This window comes from Homo sapiens, chromosome 2, assembly GCF_000001405.40.
Source record: "Homo sapiens chromosome 2, GRCh38.p14 Primary Assembly".
Classification (NCBI taxonomy): Eukaryota; Metazoa; Chordata; class Mammalia; order Primates; family Hominidae; genus Homo; species Homo sapiens.
In genome coordinates, this window is record NC_000002.12 from 229,394,205 (window position 1) to 229,406,644 (window position 12,440).

The following is a 12,440-nucleotide window of genomic DNA, read 5'->3' on the forward strand; positions in this document are numbered from 1 at the left end:
ATAAATCCTGCCCTTCGGTCAAAACAACCTTGATGTTATTGTACTTCGATTGTCCTGCACATCCCTTCTGAACCACCTCTCCCTCTGTGGATCATAAGCCTTGGGTCCGAAGGGTAATGGTGTGGGTGTGGGGATCCGCCATCTTGTTTCCCCACTGCCCAAGACACAGACAGGCTTCTCTTCGTAAGTCCCTATTAAACATTTCTTTCTGATAAACTGGATATGTCAGCCTCTTTCTTCAGCCTCTCAGCTTCCTCAGACTTTGGGGGCAGGTTTGCAGAGGCCTGCAGGAGCTGAGAGACCAAGAAATGGGTAAAGGGAATGAAGCGTCTGTGTGGGTAATCCCAGGTGGCAGCCACTTCTATGTGGAGTGGTGTGGCTCACCTTTTAGACGCTTGTGTGTGGGTACAGGGACACCCCAAAAATGCCAGCGTCTTTAGAGTGACTTTTAAGTGGGAGCCATCTGTCGCACTGCAGTAAGGAAGGATGGCGAGCAGCCACTGCTCTAACATGGCCACTTCTGTGGCCATTGAGGACGGGAGCCCATCTAGCAGCAAAAGCAAAGTAAAATGGCTTGAGGGGGAATTAAAATTAGACAAGATTTTCTAAAGAGCTCTATTGTCAAACATACATCTGTATTGTTTTAAGGTCTCTGTTCTCTCTCCGTAAAACTTCTCAGTCAAATGAATTCTGTTTTCTCCATTTACATCTGTCTGTCCCTCCTTCCTCTTGCCACCCTCGATGCCACATGAGGGACCTACAAAAAGGAACTTCTGACAGTCTGGGATCCCTTGGAGACAGAAAATACTCCTCTTTGTGGGAGGTACCTCTATTTTTCTTTATGGAACCGTAAGAGTTATAAGCAGACAGATTCCTCTTGGGTCCAAAACATGACTCTCTTTTGTGTTGCGTTACCTGATCTGTTTGGTTTTTGGGGGTGCCAGAGATTACTTTGTACCATGAGAGGACTTGCCTTTGCTGTGTGTAATAACTGGCAGGTGAGAGATACAGTCTTAGAGGTGGTTGATGGCACTTGGCCGAAAATGATTATTACTACAAGGGGATACTCATTTCTTTGGGAATTTACATAAGAAAACTGTGGTTTGGATACCTAAAGGCTACAGAAACATGCCCTACTATGGGATAAAACACCCTTTGGGGGATGGGCTGATCACAGAGTGGGCTGATCAGCGTTGAGTTGCCCATCAGCCTCAGGGGAATGTCCTTGCAGTGACGTGCACCGTGGAAGCATTGCACTGTCCAATCCTGTAGTGTTTCCCTCTTTTGGGGGACCCAGGATTCAGTGTAAAATGGGATCCTTGGTTTTGAGGGATCTAAATATTCTGCCTTTTTGCTGTACCTGCTCAAGTGTTCAGCCCTACAAACTGCATGCTTTAAAGGGCTCCATCCTGGGCCTGGTGCAGTGGCTCATGCCTGTAATCCCAGCACTTTGGGAGGCTGAGGAGGGCGGATCACCTGAGGTAAGGAGTTCGAGACTACCCTGGCCAACATGGTAAAACCCCATCTCTACTAAAACTACAAAAAATTAGCTGGGCGTGGTGGCACACCTGTAATCCCAGTTACTTGGGAGGCTGAGGCAGGAGAATCACTTGAACCGGAGAGGCGGAGGTTGCAGTGAGCGGAGATGGCGCCATTGCACTCCAGCCTGGGTGACAGAGCAAGACTCTGTCTCAAAAAAAAAGCTTCCACCCTAAAGCCAATAATCTAGATAAGAAATAAACTAAGTGAAAAAGAAGACACTTTTCCTGGCAATCTTGTTTTCAGATAACAATGGCAGCCTAAGTTCTCTGCCTTTGAGATGTAAATTTCCTACCTTGTTTCACCTAAGAGTCATGTCTTTGGATTGACAGTCTAAAGGGGGAAAAGAAACTGAAAACTGGCAAATAAAAAATCTTATAAATCTATAAGATCTGCTTCTGTGTGTCTGTATGTCTATATTTTATATGTGTCATGGGTGATATATCCCTACCAAAATATATAAAAGAGCTCTAATTACTTAGCTTAAAGAAAAGTAAGTGCTTCAGACAAATATTTTACCAGGAAGATAGAAACCAACTCAAATGCCTTTTAGTTTACACGACTTTAGTAATCTTTGGTAACTAAAACTAGTTTCAAGATTTTTTCAGTAATTTAAGAGTTAAAGAGTTAAAATACTAGTTAATATGGAAAAGTAATATCACCTAGTTTAGAGGCTATTTAAAGTTTGTTTCAAAGTGAAGGAAAAAAATGATATAGGTAAAACTAAGTGGACAGAAACAGAAAGAATAAAAGGGTGGGGAATGAGGAATTTTTGATTCCACAGTGGTCACATGGTCACCACCTAAGGTATGGAGCCCATCTGTGCTGTACTCAGTTGCTAAAGGTAAAAGTTACCAATGGAACTTAGGAATTTAACTCTGGGGGAGATGGTTCACTGGATGTGTAAGAAAATGCAAACTAATAAGGAAAAAGTGAAATATTAAACCCCTTGGTAATTGTTATCTGTCATAGCTAAAATAAAAGTACAAGAGAGTGATGGTTGGGCCTTGAGGCTGAACCAACCTCAGATGTGGGTCTGTCTGAGCATAGGTCACTAGCCTCAAAGCAACCCACAAAGGGGAAAATTATGCCAGGGCAACAAAAAGTACCTCTGAGACTCTGGTTACCAAGAGGGTAGTCAATGTGAGGGAAGGGCAAAACCAAGTAACTACTGAAATCAGAAGGTCTAGTGTGAAGGAATTGTGCCATTTTGTAGGTAGGTATTATTACCTTCCTCAGACTTTGGGGGTGGGTTTGCATAGACCTGCCCACCGTGGAACAAACAGATACATCACAATCAATTTGCTAAAACCTAGTAATAAAGGAAAACTTCTAAAAACAGCCAGAGTGAGAGTTCTGCTTTTGGAAAGATGGAGCAGATATATTTTCCCTATCCCTCCCACCAAGTACAAGTAAAAACCCTAGACATTGTACATAAAATAAACATAAGAAAATTCCAAGAAGTTGAGAGAAAGAGACAGACTGGCTAGTAATCTCAGGACCCAAGGAACAACATGATTGTGAGCTCTCTGAGTTTTCTTTTGACCTCATATATTCCAGATTAGGTGCTGGAGAAGGCAGCAACCCGGAAATGTCAAAAGATGCAGAAAACAAAACTCCCACGAAAGCCTGTTCTCTGTAACCAAAGAACCAAGATAGGGGCAGCCTAACAAGACAAAAAATTATAGCTAATAACTGCTCCACTCCAGCCAAACACTACAAAAAAAAAAAAAAAACTGCAAGTCCCCTCACCCATGCCACCAAAGGCCGAGTGGAGAGCATGGACTTCCACCCTCCAAAGCACCTCAGCCACCAAACAATAACAGAATGCACAATCTTTTCAAGTACTCACAAAACATATACCAATATAAACCATATTCTGGGCTATGAAACAACCTCAACAAATTTAGGAGAGTTGAAATCGTAGAGTGTTCTCTCACCGTAATTAAATCAAACTAGATATCTATGATAAAAAGTAACAGGAAAACCTCAAAACACTTGAAAAATAAACAACATGCTCATAAGTAATCTATGGATCAAAGAGGAAATCTAAAGGGACATTAAAAATAAAAATTAAATTGACTGAAAATGAAAATACAACATAAACTTTGTGAGATACAGCCAAAGCAGTACTGAGGGGGAAATTTATAGCACTAAAATGCATGCATTAGCTGTGAGAAAAAGCCTATATCAATACTCTAAGATCTTACCCAAAAAACCTAGAAAGAAATAACAAAAGCAAATTAAGCCCAAAGCAAAAAGAAGAAAATCATAGACATAAGAGAAGAAATCAATGAAACTGAAAACAAAAACAATAGAGAAAATGAATGCAACAAAAAGCTATTTATTAAAAAGATTAACAAAATTGACAAAACTCTAGCAAGATTGACAAAGGAAAAAAGAGAAAGACACAAATTAGCCATATCATAAATAAAGCAGAAAATATCACCAAAGACTGCAGATGTCAAAAGGATAACAGAAATACTATATTACAACTCCACAGGTAAATTTAACAACTTAAAAAATGCACTACTTCCTCAAAAAAAAATCACAACTCATCAAATATAAAATAGATGATTTAAATACTTTTATAACTATTGAGACTTTAAACTTTAAAACTCCCCAAAAAGAAATCTCAGGTCCAAATGCTTTCACTGGTAAATTCTATCAACTATTTAAAGAAGAATTAATAGCAAATTGATACAATCGGTTGCAGAAAACGGAATACAAAAGAACACTTCGCAACTTATTCCAAGAAGCTAGTTTTACTTCAATACCAAAACTAGACAAATACATAATAACTTTTTTAAAAAGAGAAACAAAACTATTTTGTGTCTACGTTCATATTAAATACTTGTTTCTCACAAAACACAAAATTGTTTTCTTTCTTTTTTAAAACAACAACTTGAGAAACAACTTGTTTCTCATGACTATAGATACAAAAATTCTGAACAAAATATTAGGAAATAGAATTTAGCAAAGTATTATATAAAATGAGTTATACACTATGACCAGGTGGTATATTCCAGGCATGCAAGACTAATTCAATATTTGAAAATCAACCAAGCATATTAACAAGCCAAAGAAAAAAATCACATGATCATATCAATCCATTGACAAAATTCAATACCAATTTATGGTTAAAGTTATCAGCAAACTAGGAATAGAGAGGAACTTCCTCAATTTGATAAACAGCATCTAAAAAAAAACACTACAGCTGACATTATCATTAATGGTGAAAGACTGAATGCTTTTCCCCTAATGTTGAAAACAAAGCAAAGATGTCTGCTCTTACTGAACCTAGTGTTAGAAGTTCTGGCTAGTGAGACAAGACAAAAAATAAAATTTATACCTATCAGAAAGGAAGAAATAAAACTGCCGCTCTTTTCAGATGGCATCATTATTTATGTAGAAAATCCCAAGAAATCTACAAAAAAAAAAAATCCTAAAACTAGTAAGTTCAGCAAGGTCACAGGATACAATTTAAACATACAAAAATCAATTATATTTCTATATACTAGCAAGAACAATTCTATTTACAATCACTAAAAATACACCATACACACACACACACACACATGCATATATACATACCTACTTGGATACTTGGATATACATGTACAGGGAAAAAATGTTGATGAAAGAAATCAAAGATCTAAATAAGTGGAGAGTCACACTGTGTTCATGAATTGGAAAACTCCAAATAGTAAAGATATTGATTCTTCCCCAAATTGATATACTGGTTTATTGTAATTCCTCAGCAAAATCTTTTGTAGGTATAGACAAGATTATTGTAAAATTTATATGAAAAGGCTAAGGATCTAGAATAGTTATAACAGTTTTGGAAAAAAAATAAGGTGGTAGGAATTATTCTGCCCAATTTCAATAGTTATTATGAAACTACAGTTGTTATGACATAATAAAGGTAGAGGAATAGACACATAATCAATGAAAAAGAAGAGCCCAAAATAGACCCACATAATATGGCCAGCTGATTTTTGACGAAAGTTCAAAAGCAATTCAATGAAGAAAAGATAGCCCTTTCAGCTAATGATGCTTGAAAAATTATACTTACATAAGCAAATGTAAATAAAAGAGCCTCCTCTAGTTAGAAGATTCAGGAAAGAATGCAAACTGTGAGAAAAGATTCTAACTATATTACAACTGTATGGAACAACCTCACAAAGGGGTCTGGGGGGGAGCTGACCTAAGTGACTTTGGAAATGGGTAGGATTGATAAGACTAAATGCAAAATAAGTGGTACATAAACACAATACTCTAGTTCATAAAGTTGTTTTCCACAAGGGTATAAGTTAACAATTCTGATACTGCTATACCTGGATACTGAAATTGAACAATTAAGTAAATAAATGATGGATGATGAAAGGCAGTATTTGGTTGTTGGTGTGAAGGGTTTACAAATAAGCAAGGGGAGAAGGCTAGAACCATTCATGCTGTAACAAACTAGAGTTGGAGACATCACTGTGAATTCATGTTTAGCTTAATATAGACAAAGATAACTACATCATGCAATATTTATGGATAAGCACATGTCCATGGGTTAGTATACACATGCACTTCCTCACTTTGTCAGCTGAGAGGACCTAAAAGCAATGATATCCCAGTAAAAACAAGCACAGCTTAGCACCCAAATCTTGTTTTTAATACTATTCTCCAATTAAAAAAACCAGAGATCCTTAGAGAAATGAATGACTCTAGAACTGGAGCAGGAAATACACAAGATGAGGCTGAAGCATCTTGCAGTGCCAGAACGTATATATGTTTTAAAAAACAAAACAAAAAATTAGCCACAAAACAAAAAATTAACCACATTAATGGGGATGTGGCAAAGAGGTAATAGGAGCCAACTGAAAGAACTCCCAATGGCCAAAGTATTGGATTATAACCTAAAGTATAAAATAAATATCCATGAACCCATAAATAAATGATTAAATAAATACACAAATGGAGGAGAATAAACAAATCTTTCATCCAGAAGAATTCCAAATAATTCATGTAGCTACTTTACCCTTAAAGAGCAAGAGCATAACTCCCTTCTTGATAAGTGTGGACTACACAACACTTTCTTTGGAAGGAAGTCACTTCCTCCCAAATTGTTAAGTATGGAAAGGGAGAGAAGGAGTAACATTATAGTAGAGAAACTTGACAAACACTACCTCAGCTAAGTGATCAACATCAACGTCAATGATCATAAATCTCATTGACAGTATGTAGCCTTGATGTGATGTGATAGGATTAGAAAATGGACAAAAGACAGAAAGAAACATTTCTTCACAGGATATGCAGATATCAAATAAGCACAGGAAAAGATGCTAAACATCATTTATCATTAGGGGAATTCAAACTGAAACCCCAATGAGCTATCATTTTACCCCTATCAGAATGGCCCAAATAAAAAATAGTGATAACACCAAATGCTGGCAAGGATGTAGAGAAACTGAATCACTCAGACATCGTTGGTGGGGAATATAAAATGCATAAGCCACTCTGGAAACATTTTGGCTCTTTTTATAAAACTAAGCATGCAACTACCATATGACCCAGCAATTGAATTTCTGGGCAATTGTCCCGGAAAAATGAAAATTTATGTTCACACATAAACCTATATATGACAGTTTACACCACCTTTTTTATAATAGCTGAAAACTGAAAACAATCCAGATTCCTTTCAACAGGGGACTGGTTAAACAAACTCTGGGACATCCATACTTTGGAATACTGCTCAGCAATAAAAAGGGAGAAATTATTGACCCAAAATAACCTGGATGCATCTCCAAAGAATCACGCTGAGTAGAAAAAAAAATCAATCTCAAAAGGCTACACACTATATGATTCCATTTATGCAATATTCTTGAAATTACAAAAATGCAAAATACACTAGTGGTTTCCAGGAATTAAAGACAGTTGTGGCGCAAGGGAAAAGGGTAACCAGTATCCTGGTTATGAAATTGTACTGTAGTTTTACAATATGTTATCATTGGAGGAAACTGGGTGAAGCTTACATTGGATCTCTCTCTATTACTACTTGCAACTGCAGGTAAAGCTTCAATAATCTCAAACTAAAATTTTGAAAAACTAGCCAGAGAAAAATAGACCCATATATAATCAATTGTTTTCTAACAAATGTAGCAATGAAATCCAATGGGGAAAAGACTGTATTTTCAATAAGATGCTGGACTAACTGGATGTTTACATGGGAAAAATATTTTCCATCCTTAAGTCACACCGTAAACAAAAATTAACTCAAAACAGACTCTACACCTAAACTTAAAAGCAGACCTATTTTAAAAACACTTTAGAAGAAAACATCGGATAAAATTTCACCATCTTGAAGTAGACAAAGATTTCTTACAATACCAGAAAAGCACAAACCATAAAAGAAAAAAAATTGATAAATTAGACCAATTACCAAAATTGAAAACTTTACTCCCCAAAAGATACCATTAAAAAAATGCATGGATGAGCAAAATGTATACCTGACAAAGAACTTGTATCCAGAATATGTAAAGAATTCTTTGAAATCAATAGTATGACAAACAACCAAAATTTTTTAAATGGGCAGATTATTTGAAAAGATAATTCACAAGTAAAGACATATGAAGAGCAAATAACCACATGAAAGATGCTGAGCATCAAAGAAATTCAATGAAAATGTCAATGAAATTAAAGCACTGATGGTATTTTACCATAAAAATTGAACTAGAAATTGTAATATTCTATTGTGAACTGAAAGACAAATATCAAAAAATAGTTGAGTTAAAAGACAGAGAGAAAGATATAGTAACATCATTCTACCTTTAATAATGCACAAGGATTTCCTGCTCTGGTGAGAAAGGAATGGGTCACTTGTGTCCCAGCTGTTCAAATGACAATGTCAATGGGCTTGGAAGAATCTTTGGCTTCCCTGTTGAAGTACGGTTACCTTATGTCCAGTCTATGGTTTCAGGTAAAAAAATAAAGCAAATCCTAGAGAATTAATGTTGCATCAGGGTATCTTTCCTTCCATCCACTGGTCCTCAGCCAGATAATTCCAAGGGGGCAGAATTGCAAAGCTTCGGTGACAAGAGTGGTCCCAAAGTAAGACAGTAACTGAAGGGTGGACAGGACCTAGGCCAGGACAGTGGGCCTTATGGAGAGAACTGTGTAGAAGGAATGAAATGCTTGAAGAGCAGGGAGGCTCTCTGTTCAGATGACTGGAGGAAGCGTATTTTCAGCCAGAAGCCTAGGTTCAGCAAGAGAGGACAGAGTCCCCCACATACCACACCCTATACTTTATCTGATGGCCTAAGAAAGCCAGTTTAATATGGTAAATATGACATTGGATTGAGTATCTAATTATATAGCAATGATTTGCCCGATTCACTCCACTCGGTCAAGCAGAGAGTTTTTGAACACTCAGTAGCTGGCCAAGTGTAACTTCTGCTAAACCTCAGGTACAATGAAAGAGTATTTGATTCCAAGGTAGCTCAACCTCAAGAGCAGAAGCACCATACTCCTTGTATGGAAGCAGTTAATATTTTATCAGCCTCTCCTGTGGAACACTAGTTCTCAGGAACAATAGATTCTCTTTAAGGAAAAAAATGGTTCTATGATCAAATAGATTTGAAAGATAAATTTACTGTTAAGACCTCTGAGAACCTTGAGCACACAGACATCCTTTATGAATCTGCACGTGGGATGTATCATGTCCCACATTTATTTGGCCACAGAACACTTTTTTCCATGGAGCATCTCCTGGGACCAGTTTTCTGTTAAACGCATTAACAGCACAACCCCTAAATGACTTTAGGAACTATTCTGTGGTCCTCTGTAGGCTGAAAAACTATCAGGGCTGAATAGAATAGACCACTTGTTTTCAAAAAGCAGTTAGAGTGATGTTTAAACCTACTTCAGTGAGTCCCACTGCGCCCTGAGATCAGGGTGGGTCTCATGAAAAAATGCCTAAGGGTGAGATTGCTGGTGGGGTATATATGGGTATGGTGGGTGTAGGGGTAAAGGGATGAGCAGAGGGGGGCTGAGAGGCAAGAGATGGAGGAAAGGCACCTTACTGAGAAGAGCGTGACATGGTATGTTCAGTTATGCAGCAAGCAGAGGGGCCCAGGACAAGGCTGGAAAGGCTGGATGGGGCCAGACCACTCAGGTCTTAAAGATTATGTTAAGGACTTTGATCTTTTTCCTAAGGACAATAAAATGCCAATAGGTGTTTTAGGTAAAGAGTGATAAGATTAGATGATCATGCATAAGGTCTCTGCAGTATGAAAAATGGATTAGGAGTCAGGAGGAATAGGTGTGAGGAGACCAGATAGGAAGGCTTGTAGTGGTGCAGGTAGGTTGGAGGTGAAGGCAGCATGGTGCTGACTCTGCAAAGAAGTGAAAAGATCTAAGAGGTTTTTAGGAGTCCTTGGTAGTTGGATGGAGGTAAGAGGGAAAAAGAGGAAGGTATATTAGTCTGTTCTCACACTGCTATGAAGATACTACCCAAGACTGGGTAATTTAGAAAGGAAAGAGGTTTAACTGACTCACAGTTCTACATGGCTGGGGAGGCCTCGGAAAACTTACAATCATGGCAGAAGGCACCTCTTCACAGGGCGGCAGGAGACAGAATGAGAGCCAGCAGGGGAAATGCCAGCTACTTATAAAACCATCAGATCTCATGAGTACTCACTCACTATCATGAGAACAGCATGAAGGAAACTGCCCCCACGATCCAATTACCTCCACCTGGCCTCTCCCTTGACATGTGGGGATTATGGGGATTCCAATTCAAGATGAGATTTGGGTGGGAACACAAAGCTTAGCCATATCAGATGATATCAAAATGGTTACCCAGTTTCTGGCCAGAATGACTGGGAGTGATGGTAATGCCATTTGATGAGCTAGCAGATATTTAAAGAAGGAAAGGAGAAGAAGATCTGAGTTTGGGGTGTCTCTGAGATTTTCAAGATATATGTGGAGTAGATAGTTGGAGTTTTGCTAAATATTCTGGAGAAAACATGACATTTTCTCATAAAATACTGAAGTAAATTTTAAATGCATTAGAGACTTAAATGCATAAAATTAATTCATACATGATTAGCATAATAGAGGAGAATATTTCTAAACTCTTGATATATAGAATCTTTCAGCATGAAACACGAAAAGAAATCAAGACCTCAATATGTAATTATGGACTAAAATATAACATATGGAAAACAAAATACTTTTGTCCAGATTTAAAAGGCAAATGACAGTGGAAAAATATGTGTAACCTATGGCAGATAAACTGTTATATACTTAAAATAAAGGGCTATTTCAAATAAAGAAGAGTAAAGATTAGCATGAATGGTCTCATAAAAAATCAGACAAAGGATATGAATAGAGAGTTCATAAAGGAAGAAACACAACCAGAAACATATTTAAGAAGTATTCAACCTTACTATAAGTCTAAGATCTACAAATTTAAACAACACTAAAATGATATTTTTGACCACTAGAATGACAATTCTCAGTATTTGTGTCAAGACAAGGAAATAAATGCTCCTGTGCACTTTTGGTAGGAGAAAATATCGGTTCAATGTTTGTTTGTTTTTTCTCCTCTTAGAGAGTAATGTCGAAATATGTATGTATTCTCCTGTACCCTGGGATTCTATTTCTGCAAAATTATACTAAAAATAATAAGATAAGTACACAAAGATGTAAATACAAGAAGATTCCTTGTAATGTTGTTTATAATGGGGAAAAGTTCTCAACTGCCCAAAAGTTGAATTGTGGATGGAACTTTTAAAAAATCATATTTCATATAATGGACTATAGGGCAGCCAGTAAAAATAAAACAGAAGCTATTCCTTGATGTAAAAACACATTTATGATATACATATATTTTTAAGTAAAAAGTAAATTATAAAATAGTATGAGTGGTATGACTCCTTTTATATTCAAATATGTATGCATATACACTATACACTATATACTACACACACACAGACCTTCAGGAAAATTTCTGGATATCAGAATGTATCAAAATCTTAATAACAGTTACCTCCTAGCAGATCAATTTTCAGTGGTGGGATTTTTTTTCCATAGTCCTATATTTTCTAATTTTCCTTCTATGCTTTTTTTACTCATGGGATAAGAATATCTGGGGAAAAAAAACCCGGGATGCTTCCCCTAATATTATTTTTGCCTCCACTGGTGAGTATAAATGTCTGCGTGTGTTTATAAGCAAAACAAAGCCATCTGCGAATCATTTTTGGAGTGAGCCCACTTCTCAGTCCCAAGAAAAGCCAGAAGGAAAACATAAGCTGTGACACTGATAAATAGAAGGAAAATCAGAAGTTGCTTTTCCTACACTTCGGCTTTTGTCACCTTCACCAGTAGCACAGATGAGGCTCCCCTGGGATGGCTTAGGGACCAAGGCTCTGTGAAATTCTCCGGGGCTTGGGAGGTGGCCACAGTGGCTTAGCAGGGGAGAGGTGGACACAGCAAGATGCTCTCCAGTCAATGATAACATATGTTTTTCTTTGGCTTCAGAGCCCACCTTCTTCTGTGGGTACTTGATATGTCATCCTCTTCCAATTTGCAATCCAGAGTGACCCTTAAGCTTTTGTTGGTTGAGCAAAACTCTAAAAACATAGACTTTGTCTTACTCTCTACATTTCAAGATCCCTGGGTTCTGTTGGAAAAGCAGGGGATGGAACATTTTGTCTCCGGTGGTTTAGTTTCTTTCACCTGTACTTTATCTGCCTACGTGTCCCAAAGCCTGGGGAACAGAAAGTTAAAAGCCTGAGAGATAAATTAATCAATAACAAATGTTTTCTAAGTCTCCAAAAGAATCTGATAAACATTTGAGAGGCTACGCTCAGCACATACACGTACAAACCACATTTCACATCTGTTTTTGA

The 12,440-nt window shown here is 37.4% G+C and overlaps 1 protein-coding gene across 1 annotated transcript in view; it reads right to left on the minus strand.

Moving 5' to 3' along the window:
* DNER (delta/notch like EGF repeat containing) overlaps positions 1–12,440 on the minus strand; it is a 356,927-nt gene that overhangs the window by 36,576 nt on the left and 307,911 nt on the right. The window lies entirely within an intron of this gene.